Consider the following 14,725-nt stretch of genomic DNA (forward strand, 5'->3'; position numbering starts at 1 on the left):
CGAGTCCGCCCCAGCCGTGGGATCAGCTCGGACGACGGTTCGCCCCCCAGAACCCCGCTGCAGCGTGGGGAAGTCCGGCCCCCGCAGGCTCGGGGCTGCGTCCCCACCAGAAGGCGCTTGGAGTGAGGCTGGCGGTCCCGCGGTCCCGGGCCGGTCGCCGAGCGCTCCCAGCGGGGACAGGCCCCTCCACCGCTCCCTTCGCCGCAGCCCCCTCCCCGCCCCGAGGGTGGCTGGGCCCGGAGGAGGGGCGCCCCGCCCCGTCCGTGCATCCGGCTCCGCCCCTTGCTGGAAAGGCTACGTATTCAGCCCTGGAGGTGCCATCCCGGGCCGCGACTCCGCTCCAGGCAGGACCCCCAACCCGCCCAGCCCGCTCCGCCTTGCGCCCCGGACCCGCGGCCGACCCCAGACCCGCTGCCCGCTTCGCGCCCGAGGCCTGCGCCCCGACGGACGCCCGTGCCCAGCTTGCCACGCCCACGCCCGGCGCCCCGACCGCGGAGGACTCCCCGAGGTGCCGGCGGAGGGGGTGGCTCGCGGCTCAGGCTGCCCCCGACGTGCCCGGCTCACCGCCCCCTCCCCTGCAGCCCCGCCCGCCATGGCCCGGATCCCGACGGCCGCCCTGGGTTGCATCAGCCTCCTCTGCCTGCAGCTCCCTGGCTCGCTGTCCCGCAGCCTGGGCGGGGACCCGCGACCCGTCAAACCCAGGTGAGTCCAGGTCTTGGGCCAGCCAACCCCTCTGGCCCCCGCAGGGAAGCAGAGTGCCGGGGGCCGCGGGGCCGCCCTCCCTCCACGCCTCCACCTGCTGCTAGGACTCCCCTCCCAAACAAAGGCCCCTACCCCAGGCTCAGGAGCGCCTGAGCAGGGCCAGAGGCCCCTCTTTCTCTGCCTCCCTACACAGGGCAGTTGCTCCTCCCCACACACATGGGCACAGCAGCCCCTCTTCTGGGGGTGTCTGCTGGGGGAGGGGAGGCTGGCGGTATCCCTGGCCGGCCTGTGACCACCCTAAAGGGAGGGCAGAAGCCGAGTCACCCTGAGCCCTGAGAGTGGTGACCCGCAGAGGCTGGGCCGCCGGGGTGCCCTTTGGCCAAGGAGGTGCCGGTTCCCGGGACACGTGACCCGGGCCACTGAGATGGTCCCAGGCCCAAGCCCAGAGGGGACGCGGGCTTCCCCTGGCCGTGCTCCAGGCTGTGTGTGGATGGGGGCTGTGGGCTTCCCCTGGCAGTGACCCAGGCCTGTGTAGAGGCAAAAGTGGGCAGGTGTGAGTTCTCCAAAAGGCTGAGCCATCTGGTTGACATTCTCCATCTGCCTCTGCAGGGAGCCCCCAGCCCGGAGCCCTTCCAGCAGCCTGCAGCCCAGGCACCCCGCACCCCGACCTGTGGTCTGGAAGCTTCACCGGGCCCTCCAGGCACAGAGGGGTGCCGGCCTGGCCCCTGTTATGGGTCAGCCTCTCCGGGATGGTGGCCGCCAACACTCGGGCCCCCGAAGACACTCGGGCCCCCGCAGGACCCAAGCCCAGCTCCTGCGAGTGGGCTGTGTGCTGGGCACCTGCCAGGTGCAGAATCTCAGCCACCGCCTGTGGCAACTCATGGGACCGGCCGGCCGGCAGGACTCAGCTCCTGTGGACCCCAGCAGCCCCCACAGCTATGGCTGAGGTGGGGCCGGGCCACACCCCTGCCCATCCCAGCCAGGGTGCTGTGCCCCCGTCCAGAGCTGCAGCTGAGCCCCATCTGAAGCCCAGTCCCTCGGAGCTGCAGACAGCAGGTCCTGCAGCAACAATACCTGCACGGCTTTGCACACGTAAACCTAGGCTGGTCTACACGCAGTGCTGGTACGTCAAGGAGCCTAAACACCCTGAAATTGTGACCCCCTGGGGGACAGCTGCCAGACACAGCTGGCGGCAGCACCAGATGCTAAGCGCTTCAGAGAGGAGGTGTCTGCCCAGAGATGTGGAGCAGAAGCTGGGCCCTGAACACACGGGGCCATGTCTGGACGAGCAGGGGAGAGAGGCTGAACTGGCCAGAAGTGGCCCCTCCGCTGCTGGTCCAGTCAGACTGAAGCCCGGCCTTGTGCCTGGGCTGTTCCTGCTCTCATGCACAACCAGCCCTTCCACGTGCCTGCCTGTGGGACAGGAGGGGGAGCGTGGGATGCTGTAGCCCCCGGGGTTGGGCAAGGGAAGGATGGTGGCCCTCCAGAGGTCATGAAGGGACCTCTGTGGCTCCAGCTGCCAACCCTGGAGCCCAGACCGAGGTGGCCATGGAGACTCCACCTGGATCCCCTGTAGGAGGCCAGGGAGGGGAACTCAGCAGTTCAGGAGCCACCCCAAACCATTCTGGGACAGGGACACCCCTTTCTACCCCAGGGCAGGGCAGGGCTGGGTGGGGCAAGATCCCCCAGCCCGACTAGACCCACCTCACCTGAAGGGGGTGAGACCCTTGTTGGCAGCCAGACAAGGGTGGGGCTCCACAGGCAGCACAGGCGCCCCACCACCACCCAGTTTGGGGACCCAGTGGGACCAGGTGCGGGGGCAGAGGGTGACTTACCAAGAGCCAGGGAGGGCAGCCCAGGCCCAAGTGACAGCAAGAACAAGAACCACTGCCGGCGTGCACAGACTTGGTGTGTGTCCTTCCCTGGGGGGACGGGGGACTCACATGTGCCTGCCACTGGAGCCTCTCAACCGTCCAGCAGAACACGGGGTTCAGAAAGGGCTCCTTCTGCTATTTAGCGAACACTGAGCATTTAATTTACAAATGTTTGCTAGGGTCACCCTCTCGGCCATCCCACGAGGGTCGCCATGATCACCCCAACTCTAGAGGCCGCAGCAGAGCTCAGGACATTCCCCCACAGAGCTTGCCCCTCAGTTCCTACCTCCAAGGGGGAGGGTCCTGGAAGCGCCCACCCAGGCGCCGCCCCTGTGCTTGCTCCCCGAGCTCAGGGATTGCCGAGTCCACGTAACTGACCTGTACTCCACGAGGCCCTGTGGGAACGGTCCAGGCTGGTCCTGCCCTGTGGAGGCCTCCGTGCACTGAGAGATGTACTAGGATTGCAGCAAAGGTGGTCAGGGTGATGGGCCGCACAGCGAGGCAGTCAAGGCCAGCTCCCTGGGAGAAGCACTGGGTCAGGTGAGGTCTGAGGACAGCAGGCCTTCCCTAGGGGAAGGAGCTGGGAGTGCCAAGGCCCCAGGTGCACAGGAGGCGTGGCTGCTGAGAGGCTGCAGGGTGGAGGGGCCTCGGCCTCAGAGTCATGTGCCCTGTGACCACTGAAGGGTGTCAGCAGAGCACACGGCATGAGGACAGAGGGAGGGGCACGGGGAGTGAAGGAGGGGGCCCTGGGGCAAGGCTCGGGGGTCAGGAGCTCAGCGTCCGCTACTCAGCCCAGCCAAAACCCTCCCAGACGTCTCCTCTCCTGCCTGGGCAAAGTCCAGCTTGGCACCCCGTCTGGGGCCTGCCTGTGGTCAGGGCCAAGTGTTCCCTCCTCCAGGAAAGCCTTTACCCTCCTCATGCCCTGTAGTCAGGAGGCCGCCTGCTGTAACCCTCCGTGTCGCCTCGGGTGCGAAATCAGACCCACCTGACACCATCACGCGGAGGCCCAGCAGCACCTGCACCCACTTCCAGCTGCTCTGGCCAAAATCTCCGCTCGGCCAGGCCCCGTGGCTCACACCTGTAATCCTAGCACATTGGGAGGCCAAGGCAGGCACATCACCTGAGTTCAGGAGTTCAAGACCAGCCTGGCCAACATGGTGAAATCCCGTCTCTACTAAAAACAGAAAATTATCCGGGCGTGGTGGCACATGACTGTAATCCCAGCTACTCAGGAGGCTGAGGCAGGAGGATCACTTGAACCTGGGAGGCGGAGGTTGCAGTGAGCTGAGATTGCGCCATTGCACTCCAGCCTGGGCAACAAGAGCAAAATTCTGCCTCAAAAAAAAAAATAGTAATAATACAAAAATTAGCTGGGCGTGGTGGCACATGCCAGTAATTCCATCTACTCGGGAGGCTGAGGCAGGAGAATCGTCTAAGCCCGGGAGGTGGAGGTTGCAGTGAGCCCAGATGGCGCTGCTGCACTCAAGCTTGGATGACAGAGCAAGACTCCGTTTCAAAAAAAAAAAACCTCCTCTCTTCCTTCACACCTTCCTCTGAATCCCACCCGGTCCCACCTCCTGAACCTATCCAGACACCTTCTCCTGACCCAGGCACCACCTGCTTTCGGGGCGATGGCCGTAGCCTCCTCCCAGGCACCTGTCTGCATCCCTCTGGCCAGTGCATGCTGAGCACGTGACCTACCCGTGTTGGGACACGTGAGGATACAGCCTTGACCCCCAGGGGCTGACATTCTAGGGGGAGATAGAAGGAGACAAACGTAGAAGGTAGAATAAGTGGGTGGTGGAGTGGCAGGGAGTGCTGAGTGCCACAGGAAGTCAGACAAGGAAGGAGAGTGTGGGGCAGGTGCCGTTTAAATGGGGGGCGCTGGGGTCTCCTCACAGTTGCTTCTCAGCTCAGCTGTGCCAGGATCTTGTTGAGTCAGGTCAGCTGCCCACAGCCCTCTTGCCTGACCCCTGAAGCCCAGAACTCTGATCTTCACAGCCCTAGGTATGGCCCCAGCACCCCACTGCCCTCTCTCCTGCCCCAGCCGACTGCTGTTCCCAGACTTCCCTGGCCACGCTCCAAGACGCCAGCTCTGCCGCGGGCACTTTGTTCTCACGGTGTCCTCCATGCCTGCAGGGCCCATGCATGGGAAGTTGCGTTGGCGGCCTGGGTGTTGGCGGTTCCGTGCCTGCTCCAACTCTCCGTGAGGCCCCTCTCCCAGAGCCTGACACACTCTGTGGCCGAACTCTAGGCAGGTGCCCCTGAGTCCTTTCCTCGACGAGGCCTGACCCCATCCCCATCCTCGCTGGGCCCGCCGACCCCGGTGTTAGCAAGAATCCTCTAAATCAGTTTATGGAGAATTACCCACCCTCGATATCTGATCCCATTCCTCATCTCCCACCCTTGATCTCATCACCCTGCCGGCCTCCTGCAAGATCCTCATTGAGCCACTCCAGTGAGAATCCCCCTACCCTCGAAGGCCGCCCTAACAACTTCCCATCCGCTGACCCCTCCAACGCCATCAATCTCCAGCTGTGGTTGTTGAACTCGGAGGTGAGCTCCTCTCACCACTCTCTTGAATAAAGCTTTTCTCACCATTTTAACAAGTCCTCAGAATCATCTTTTCTTAACAAGCTCCTGCCCCACCCAGAATCACGGGGGGCCTGGGGACAAGTTTTCACCTCCTGAGATCCAGTGGGGCAGCCGGGGAAGGGGTGGTGCAGAGGGGGCGTGTGCTTGAGGGTGGGGTCTTGGGTCTGCCCCTACTTGTGGGACCCCACAGAGGGGTCTAAGGCCAGGGCCCAAGTGGGAGGCTGGGCCCACAGATAACCCTAGGCAGGTCAGCGGCTCGGGACAGGAGTGTGAGGCTGAGTCAGGGCCAGAGGATGTGGGACTGCTGGGGGCTGCTGCTGTGCTGACACATTAACTCCCTGAGGCCGGGAGGAGGGTGGATGGTCATTTATTACTGCGGACACTTATGTAACCTGGGGTGTATATAGGAGCCTGGCTGAGGACACACTCGCCAGCCTGTGCTTTGCCACCTGAGCGCCGCTCCCTCTCAGGATGAAGGTGACGGTGGTGAGTACCCAGACCCCATGCAGAGAGGCTCTGCTGACTGCTCTCCTGGTGGCCAGCCACTCCCGCCCTCTTCTAGCTGGCACTGGCCAGCCCTCCTCCTCCGTCCAGCTGGGCAAGAGCCAGCGGCTGCCGACCCCCAGGCTCCCTGTGGACTCAGTCTCCTCCCAAAGCCACTTCCACCCCTCAAGGGTGGCCATGGGTGCCGCTCAGGCGTGGTGTCCCCTGTACCCCGGAAGCAGACGTCTGCTGACTTTCGCTTTGCAGATGAGGACCTGGGAGTGAGAGCTCCTGGGACTCGCTGAGGCCAGGGCAGGGGCTGGGATGATGGCGTGGGAGAGGCTGTGTCCTCGCGTGTCACCCACCAGCCCTCGAGCAGAGGCAGGCTTGGAGTCTGCAGCCACCCTGGGAATGTCTGTGCTTCCTCGTGGAGCTGACATGATGGTGAAATAGGTTCAATCCTCCACCTACCCAGGGCCCAGACCCTTCCCTGGTCTACCGACCTGATGTGGACCCAGAGGTGGCCAAAGACAAGGCCAGCTTCCGGAACTACACGGTGAGTACCTTGCCGTCCTGCCCCCCTTCTCCCCCATCCACACCCTGGGGAGCAGCACTTGCCCTTCACACAGTTCCAGGGGGTGCCCTGTGGGAACTCCCACCCCCATCACACCCTGTGGGGCTGCCTGGGAGAGGGGAGGCATGGGGCCTCGTGTGCAGGGTGGGGGTGGCGCCACTGACCCTCCGGCCTGCAGTCAGGTCCCCTCCTGGACCGTGTCTTCACCACCTACAAGCTCATGCACACGCACCAGACAGTGGACTTCGTCAGGAGCAAGGTAGGCGTTTCCTGCCGCCCCGTGCAAACGCGGAGGGACCCTTGCCCTCAGCCCCATGAGCCCACCAGGCGCCGAGGGGATGGAGAGGCCTGTGTGGTGGGCCTGCTGACCCTGGGCCACACTGCCTTCTCCTTCCCCGCCAGCATGCCCAGTTTGGGGGCTTCTCCTACAAGAAAATGACAGTCATGGAGGCCGTGGACCTGCTGGATGGGCTGGTGGATGAGTCGGACCCGGACGTAGATTTCCCCAACTCCTTCCATGCCTTCCAGACAGCGGAGGGCATCCGGAAGGCCCACCCAGACAAGGGTGAGCCCTGGCTGTGCTGCAGGGGGGCAGGTGCTGCCTCCAAGGGGCAGAATGCAGCAGCCTGTAGGGTGGGAGGGGACAGTAGTGGGCCCAGGCCTCCTCCAGCAGCCCTGCCTGGGTTGGGGAGCAGGCCCTGGACCCTTCCTGGCTCTCAGCCCCGCAAACCTGCTCATCCTCTGCCTTGGCCCCTGCAGTCCCCAACCTGCCCTGTCCATCCCCCTCCCAGACTGGTTCCACCTCGTCGGGCTCCTGCACGACCTGGGGAAGGTCCTGGCCCTGTTCGGGGAGCCCCAGGTAAGAGTTGGAAGTGGAGGGTGAGGAGGCTGCATGTTGAGGCAAGGTGGGGGTGGAGTGGCCTTGGTGCTTGGCCTGGGATACTACCTGGGGGACAGGCCAGTGCACCCCCCACGGCCCCCCGACGGCTGCCTGTCCCTCTGGTGGCCTCGGTGCTTGGCCTGGGATACTACCTGGGGGACAGGCCAGTGCACCCCCCACGGCCCCCCCCACGGCTGCCTGTCCCTCTGGTGGCCTCGGTGCTTGGCCTGGGATACTACCTGGGGGACAGGCCAGTGCACCCCCCACGGCCTCCCCGCACCACTCCCCCCACGGCCCCCCATGGCCGCCTGTCCCTCCTGTCACTCTGCAGTGGGCGGTCGTCGGCGACACCTTCCCCCACTTCCCCCACGGCCCCCCATGGCTGCCTGTCCCTCCTGTCCCTCCTGTCCCTCCCATCCCTCCCGTCCCTCCTGTCCCTCCCGTCCCTCCCATCCCTCCTGTCCCTCTGCAGTGGGCAGTCATCGGCAACATCTTCCCCCACTCCCCCCATGGCCGCCCGTCCCTCCTGTCCCTCTGCAGTGGGCAGTCATCGGTGACACCTTCCCCCACTCCCCCCATGGCCGCCCGTCCCTCCTGTCCTTCTGCAGTGGGTGGTCATCGGCGACACCTTCCCCCACTCCCCCCATGGCCTCCCGTCCCTCCTGTCCCTCTGCAGTGGGCTGTCGTCGGCGACACCTTCCCCGTCGGATGCCGTCCGCAGGCCTCCGTGGTTTTCTGCGACTCCACCTTCCAGGACAACCCTGACCTCCAGGATCCTCGATACAGGTGCTCCCTGCTGCTGAGGGCTGGGCCCCCTTCCCTGGGCGGCTGCTGAGCCCTCCTCACCCTGGTATCTCACTGCAGCACAGAGCTCGGGATGTATCAGCCCCACTGTGGGCTCGACAGGGTCCTCATGTCCTGGGGCCATGATGGTGAGGCCAGAGGCGGGCAGTGGGGCGGTGGGGGGCGGTGGGGGACGGTGGGGGGCGGTGGGGCAGAGGCAGTGCCTGCTGGTGACACCCTCTCCCCACAGAGTACATGTACCAGGTGATGAAGTTTAACAAGTTCTCACTGCCCCCTGAGGTAGGTGGGGGGAGGGGCAACGCAGCCCGTCCACCAGGCCCGGTCCTGCAGCCCCAAGTGAGCCGCTGGGTGGCCTTGCCCGCAGGCTTTCTACATGATCCGGTTCCACTCCTTCTACCCCTGGCACACGGGCCGCGACTACCAGCAGCTGTGCAGCCAGCAGGACCTGGCCATGCTGCCCTGGGTGCGGGAGTTCAAGTACGCCCCGCTACCCGCCGAGGGGTGTTGTGGGAGTGAAAGAGGGGGTTGGGTGGGGGGCCTGGGGGTTCTTCACGGGGCTCACCGCCCCTCCCTGCTGCAGCAAGTTCGACCTCTACACCAAGTGCCCGGACCTGCCGGACGTGGACAAGCTGCGGCCCTACTACCAGGGGCTCATTGACAAGTACTGCCCTGGCATCCTGAGCTGGTGACCCTCCTGCCACCCAAGCTGCTGCTGGACCTAGGCCTGGCCCTCCGCCTGCCTGGAGAGGCCTGGCCCTGGGCAAACAGCCGCCATCAGGGTTCACCTCGGTGGGGGACCCCACTCACCCCCTTAGGGTCGCCACCCCTCACGGCAACTTGTGCCTGGCGTCAATAAAGACCTGGAAGGATGTTGTGCTTCTGAAGCCCCACTGGGTGTTACTGCAGCAGGGCGTGGCCCAGGCCGAGGGATGGTGCCAGCAGGGTGGAGGCCAAGTCCCAGGCTTTCAGGTGTGTGTGTCCCACCACACTGGCCGTGGTAAACATCTGCCCATCCTCCCAGCTCCTGTGTCAGAGCCTGGGGGACGAGTCACCCAGCTCACCCCCACATGCTCAAAACAGTCACCAAGTCCTCTGGGCTCCGTCCCCTTAAAAAATACCCCAATAGCTAAAATAATACATTCATAGAAAACAACAAAAAACAAATGCAGGCTGGGCACAGCGGCTCACACCTATAATCCCAGCACTTTGGGAGGGCGAGGTGGGCGGATCACCTGAGGTCAGGGGTTCAAGACCAGCCTGGCCAACATGGTGAAACCCCGTCTCTACTAAAAATACAAAAATTAGCCGGGCGTGGTGGTGGGCGCCTGTAATCCCAGCTATTCAGGAGGCTAAGGCAGGAGAATCGCTTGAACCCGGGAGACAGGGGTTGCCGTGAGTCAAGATTGTGCCACTGCACTCCAACCTGGGTATCAAGAGTGAAATTCCATCTCAAAAAAAATAAATAAAATAAAATAAAACAAGTGCACAGTTTAAATGCTATAAAGCAAACACCTGCGGCCACCACCCCTGAACCGACTCTCCAGTACCCTCCGCATGCCCCGGGTGCGGCTCCCCGCACAGAGCAGCCCCTCCACAGGCTCTGCAGCCACCGTCCATCCTCTCTACATGGTTTTGTCACCCAGGCGTGCAGCCCTTGGTGCCAAAGAGTGGCCTCCCCTCCATCTTCTCTGAAATTCATCTCTGAAGAAAGTAGATTGTCCCAGGAAATTCGTCTTTGTGGGGATTCTGTACCTGTTAACGTTTTCCTCTGAACTTCTGCCAATCGGTGCACGGATTTAGAGGCTTCCCCAGATCCTGTTTGGTTGGTTGTGGGCACGAGTGCTTTCAGGCAGTGGTGTTTCCTGAGGAAGAGGCATGCGGTGCCTGTCCTGAGTGTTGTCAGCGGGCAGCTGTGGGCGTTCAAGCTTATCCGGATCCCCCACTCCCCTGGGTATGGAACAGCCCAGGTCACTTTCTGTCCTCGTCCGCCGCAGGGAACACTTCAGGAAGTGGAAGTTGCCTCCCACGTGCTCTTTGGCTACACAGTGGCACTGTTCGTATAGAAAGGCAGGTCGATGTTTCAGTCCTTCCCTTAATTTTTTTTTTTTTTTTTGAGACAGTCTCACTCTGTCGCCCAGGCTGGAGTACAGTGGGGCAATCTCAGCTCACTGCAACCTCCCTCTCCCGGGTTCAAGCAATTCTCCTTCCTCAGCCTCCCTAGTAGCTGGGATTACAGACCCACGCCACCACACCTGGCTAATTTTTTTTTTGTACTTTTAGTAGAAACAAGGTTTTGGCCAGGCACGGTGGCTCACACCTGTAATCCTAGCACTTTGGGAGGCCGAGGCAGGAGGATCACTTGAGGTCAGGAGTTCGAAATCAGCCTGGCCAACATGGTGAAACCCAGTCTCTACTAAACATACAAAATTAGCTGGGCCTGGTGGTCGGTGCCTGTAATCCCAGCTACTCCGGAGGCTGAGGCAGGAGAATCACTTGAACCTGGGAGGCGGAGGTTGCAGTGAGCCAAGATCGAGCCACTGCACTCCAGCCTGGGTGACAGAGCGAGACTCCGTCTCAAAAAAAAAAGGCATTTTTTGGAAAATAGAAAAACATAATTCTAAAATTCCTATGGAATTTTAAGGGAACCCAAATGGCCATAACAATCTTGGAAAAAAAAAAGTTTACTTCTTGATGACTAAAGATAAAATAGAAAACATAAAAAGGAAAAAGATGTAAAAGAAACAAAATAATTAAAAGGTAAAAAAAGAACAACAAAGACTGGGCACGGTGATTCATGCCCGTAATCCCAGCACTTTTGGGAGGCCGAGGCGGGCGGATCACGAGGTCAGCAGATTGAGACCATCCTGGCCAACATGGTGAAACCCCATCTCTACTAAAAATACAAAAAATTAGCTGGGCGTGGTGGCACGTGCCTGTAGTCCCAGCTACTCGGGAGGCTGAGGCAGGGGAATTGCTTGAACCCAGGAGGCAGAGGTTGCAGTGAGCCAAGATTGCGCCACTGCATTCCAGCTTGGCAACAGAGCGAGACTCCGTCGCAAAAAAAAAAAAAAAAAAAAATTAGCCAGGTGTGGTGGTGGACACCTGTAATCCCAACTACTCGGGAGGCCGAGGCAGGGAGAATTGCTTGAATCTGGGAGGTGGAGGTTGCAGTGAGCTGAGATTATGCCACTGCACTCCAGCCTCAACGACAGAGCAAGACTCCATCTCCAAAAATAAAAAGAAGACAGGTGCAGTGGCTCACGCCTGTAATCCCAGCACTTTGGGAGGCTGAGGCCGGCAGATCACCTGAGGTCAGGAGTTCAAGACCAGCCTGGCCAACATGGTGAAACCCCATCTCTACTAAAATACAAAAAAATTAGCCTGGCGTGATGGCGGGTGCCTGTAATCCCAGCTACTCGGGGGGCTGAGACGGGAGAATTGCTTGAGCCTGGGAGACGGTGGTTGCAGTAAGCTGAGATTGCACCACTGCATTCCAGCCTGGGCAGCTGAGCAAGACTCCATCTCAAAAAAAAAAGAAAAAAAAAAAAGGCTGGGTGCAGTGGCTCATGCCTATAATCCCAGCACTTTGGGAGGCCGAGACGGGTGGATCATGAGGTCAGGAGAGCGAGACCATCCTGGCTAACATGGTGAAACCCTGTCTCTACTAAAAATACAAAAAATTAGCCGGGCGTGGTGGCGGGCGCCTATAGTCCCAGCTACTCGGGAGGCTGAGGCAGGAGAATGGCGTGAACCCGGGAGGCAGAGCTTGCAGTGAGCCAAGATCGCGCCATTGCACTCCAGCCTGGGCAACAGAGCGAAACTCCATCTCAAAAAAAAAAAAAAAAAAAAGAACAAAGTTGGAGGACTCTCATTTGTCAATTTAAAAACTTACCACAAAGCTACAATAATCAAAACAGCATGGGCAGGCATGGTGGCTCACACCTGTAATCCCAGCACTTTGGGAGGCTGAGGCAGGTGGATCACCTGAGGTCAGGAGTTCAAGACCAGCCTGGCCAACATGGTGAAACTCCATCTCTACTAAAAATACAAAAATTAGCTGGGTGTGGTGGCAAAAGCCTGTAATCCCAGCTACTCGGGAGGCTGAGGCAGGAGAATTGCTTGAGCCCGGGAGGCAGAGGTTGCAGTGCACTGAGATCACGACACTGCACTCCAGCCTGACTGACAGAGTGAGACTGTCTCAAAAACAAAACAAAACAAAACAGTGTGGCACTGGCTTTAAAGACAGACACAGAGATCAATGGGGTTAAATAGACAGCCCAGAAATAAACACTTCAATATATGGTCAAATGGTTTTCAACAAGGGTGCCAGAATCATTCAATGGTGGAAAGAATGATCTTTTCAACAAATGGGGCCAGGAGTGGTGGCTCACGCCTGTAATCCTAGCACTCTGGGAGGCCGAGGTGGGCACATCACCTGAGGTCAGGAGTTTAAGACCAGCCTGGCCAACGTGGTGAAATCCTGTCTTGACTGAAAATACAAACATTAGCTGGGCATGGTGGTGCATGCCTGTAATTCCAGCTACTGGAGAGGCTGAGGCAGGAGAATCATCTGAGCCCGGGAGGCAGAGGTTGCAGTGAGCCGAGATCTCGCCACTGCACTCAAGCTTGGACAACAGAGCCAGACTCCATCTCAAAAAACAAACAAGCAAAAACGAATGGTTCTGGACAAATAGAATATTCACATGCAGAAAAATGAAGTTGGGCCGGGCACGGTGGCTCACGCCTGTAAACCCAGCACTTTGGGAGGCCGAGGTGGGTGGATCACCTGAGGTCAGGAATTTGAGGCCATCCTGGCTAACATGGTGAAACCCTGTCTTTACTGAAAATACAAAAATTAGCTGTGCATGGTGGCAGGCACCTGTAATCCCAGCTACTCTGGAGGCTGAAGCAGGAGAATCGCTTGAACCCGGGAGGCGGAGGTTGCAGTGATCCAAGATCTCGCCACCGCACTCCAGCCTGGGCGAAAGAGTAAGACTCTGTCTCAAAAAAAAAAAAAAAGAAAAATGAAGTTGGACACTTACCTTACACCACATACCACATACAAAAATTAAATCAAAATGGATCAATGACCTAAACTTTTTTTGCTTTGAGACAGGGTCCTGTTCTGTCACCCAGGCTGAAGTGAAGAAGTGTGCCACAGCTGACTGCAGCCTCGACCTCCTGGGCTCAAGCGATCCTCCCATCTTGGCCTCCAGAGTAGTAGGGGGACTACAGGTGCACACCACCACAGTTGGCTAATTTTTATTTTTTGTAGAGACAGGGTTTCTCCATGTTGCCCAGGCTGGTGTCGAACTCCTGGGCTCAAGTGATCCTCCCACCTTGGCCTCCCAAAGTGCTGGAATAATAGACGTGAGCCACAGCGCCCGGCTGACCTAAACTTAAGAGCTAAAATGGCCAGGAGCGGTGGCTCACGCCTGTAATGCCAGCACTTTGGGAGGCTGAAGCAGGTGGATCTTGAGGTCAGGAGTTTGAGACCAGCCTGGCCAACATGGTGAAACCCTGTCTCTACTAAAAATACAAAAATTAGCCGAGCATGGTGGCACTTGCCTGTAATCCCAGCTACTCAGGAGGCTGAGGCAGGAGAATCGCTTGAATCTGGTAGACGGAGGTTGCAGTGAGCTGAGATTGTGCCACCACATTCCAGCCTGGGCGACAGAGTGAGACTCTGTCTCAAAAAAAAAAAAAACTAAAACTTTAACCTTCAGAAGAAAACAGAAGACAAGCTCCTTGACATTGCATTAGGCAATAATTCCTTGGATATGACACCAAAAGCACAGACAACAAAAGAAAATAGATAAGTTGGCCAGGCGCAGTGGCTCAGGCCTGTAATTCCAGCACTTTGGGAGGCCGAGGCTGGTGGATCACGAGGCCAAGAGATCAAGACCATCCTGGCCAACATGGTGAAACGCCATCTCTACTAAAAATACAAAAATTAGCTGGGCGTGGTGGCGCGTGTTTGTAGTCCCAGATACTAGGGAGGCTGAGGCAAGAGAATTGCTTAAACAAGGGAAGTGGAGGTTGCAGTGAGCCGAGATCACACCACTGTACTCCAGTCTGGCAACAGAGCGAGATTCCATCGCAAAAAAAAAGAAAGAAAGAAAGAAAAGTTTATTTTTCTAATTTTTCTTTTTCTTTCTTTTTTCTTTTCTTTTTCTTTTTTTTTTTCGAGACGGAGTTTCGCTCTTGTTGCCCAGGCTGGAGTGCAATGGCGTGATCTCAGCTCACTGCAACCTCTGCCTCCTGCGTTCAAGTGAATCTCCTGCCTCACCCTCCCCAGCAGCTGGGACTACAGGCGCCCGCCACCACGCCTGGCTAATTTTTTGTATTTTTAGTAGACACGGGCTTTCACCCTGTTAGCCAGGATGGTCTCGATCTCCTGACCTCGTGATCTGCCCGCCTCGGCCTCCCAAAGTGCTGGGATGACAGGCGTGAGCCACCGCGCCCGGCTGATTCCTCATTTTCAACCCAGTCTCTCTTGACCACTAAGCCAACTAGTTCCAGCTTTTTCTGAAGACAAGTCAGGTTGCCCTCCCAAACCTTCCCTCTTCATACAGGGGCCTTCTACCTGACCTCTGAGATTTCTCGCCCAGCACCTCAGCAAGGGCTTGTCTGATGCTGCTGTACTTTGTCTACCCCTCCAATCACAGGAGTCCGTAGTTCCTAGAAAATCTATTTTTGCTCCTGTCCCAATCCGCTGAATAAACTGTATACAAAATTCAGGTGTGGAATCTCATGTTGCTCCCTTTGGTCAAGTTACCTATTTTCCCAAGCCTGCATCTAAGCTTGATCCTT

At 58.9% G+C, this 14,725-nt stretch overlaps 2 protein-coding genes across 6 annotated transcripts, besides 2 other annotated features; both read left to right on the forward strand.

Annotated features, from left to right (window-relative positions):
- Positions 75-364: a silencer, noted in NCBI's record as "silent region_13981". NCBI's record gives its function as "represses an Ori minimal core promoter by ATAC-STARR-seq in GM12878 lymphoblastoid cells {active_cell/tissue: GM12878}" and the evidence as "EXISTENCE:reporter gene assay evidence [ECO:0000049][PMID:35858748]".
- ADM2 (adrenomedullin 2) lies at positions 288-5,182 on the forward strand. Of its 2 annotated transcripts, NM_001253845.2 has the most exons (3): positions 288-508; positions 582-702; positions 1,312-5,182. In NM_001253845.2, exons 2-3 carry the CDS (start codon positions 593-595, stop codon positions 1,646-1,648), a joined length of 447 nt encoding a protein of 148 aa, NP_001240774.1. In that variant the 5' UTR covers positions 288-508; positions 582-592; the 3' UTR covers positions 1,649-5,182. The 2 variants fall into 2 exon arrangements, with proteins under 2 accessions (NP_001240774.1, NP_001356811.1); NM_001369882.1 differs by having other exon boundaries at positions 288-702.
- Positions 415-534: a silencer, noted in NCBI's record as "silent region_13982". NCBI's record gives its function as "represses an Ori minimal core promoter by ATAC-STARR-seq in GM12878 lymphoblastoid cells {active_cell/tissue: GM12878}" and the evidence as "EXISTENCE:reporter gene assay evidence [ECO:0000049][PMID:35858748]".
- Positions 5,183-5,603: 421 nt separating the features above from the next.
- MIOX (myo-inositol oxygenase) lies at positions 5,604-9,393 on the forward strand. Of its 4 annotated transcripts, NM_017584.6 has the most exons (10): positions 5,604-5,657; positions 6,130-6,210; positions 6,407-6,487; positions 6,631-6,793; positions 7,020-7,087; positions 7,785-7,894; positions 7,973-8,040; positions 8,142-8,191; positions 8,277-8,389; positions 8,493-9,393. In NM_017584.6, exons 1-10 carry the CDS (start codon positions 5,643-5,645, stop codon positions 8,599-8,601), a joined length of 858 nt encoding a protein of 285 aa, NP_060054.4. In that variant the 5' UTR covers positions 5,604-5,642; the 3' UTR covers positions 8,602-9,393. The 4 variants fall into 4 exon arrangements, with proteins under 4 accessions (NP_060054.4, XP_047297399.1, XP_011529007.1 ...); XM_047441443.1 differs by lacking the exon at positions 8,493-9,393 and having other exon boundaries at positions 6,988-7,087; positions 8,277-8,369; XM_005261925.5 differs by lacking the exon at positions 5,604-5,657 and having other exon boundaries at positions 6,127-6,210; positions 6,411-6,487.
- The last annotated feature ends 5,332 nt before the right edge of the window (positions 9,394-14,725 follow it).

This window comes from Homo sapiens, chromosome 22 (assembly GCF_000001405.40).
Source record: "Homo sapiens chromosome 22, GRCh38.p14 Primary Assembly".
In the NCBI taxonomy this organism is placed as follows: domain Eukaryota; kingdom Metazoa; phylum Chordata; class Mammalia; order Primates; family Hominidae; genus Homo; species Homo sapiens.

Coding starts and splice junctions, on each gene's coding strand:
- ADM2 (NM_001369882.1), top strand. CDS start 593: ATGGCCCGGATCCCGACGGCCGCCCTGGGTTGCATCAGCCTCCTCTGC. Junction 703..1,311: donor CCGCGACCCGTCAAACCCAG/GTGAGTCCAGGT, acceptor CTGCCTCTGCAG/GGAGCCCCCAGCCCGGAGCC.
- MIOX (NM_017584.6), top strand. Junction 6,211..6,406: donor CCAGCTTCCGGAACTACACG/GTGAGTACCTTG, acceptor TCCGGCCTGCAG/TCAGGTCCCCTCCTGGACCG. Junction 8,192..8,276: donor AGTTCTCACTGCCCCCTGAG/GTAGGTGGGGGG, acceptor CCTTGCCCGCAG/GCTTTCTACATGATCCGGTT.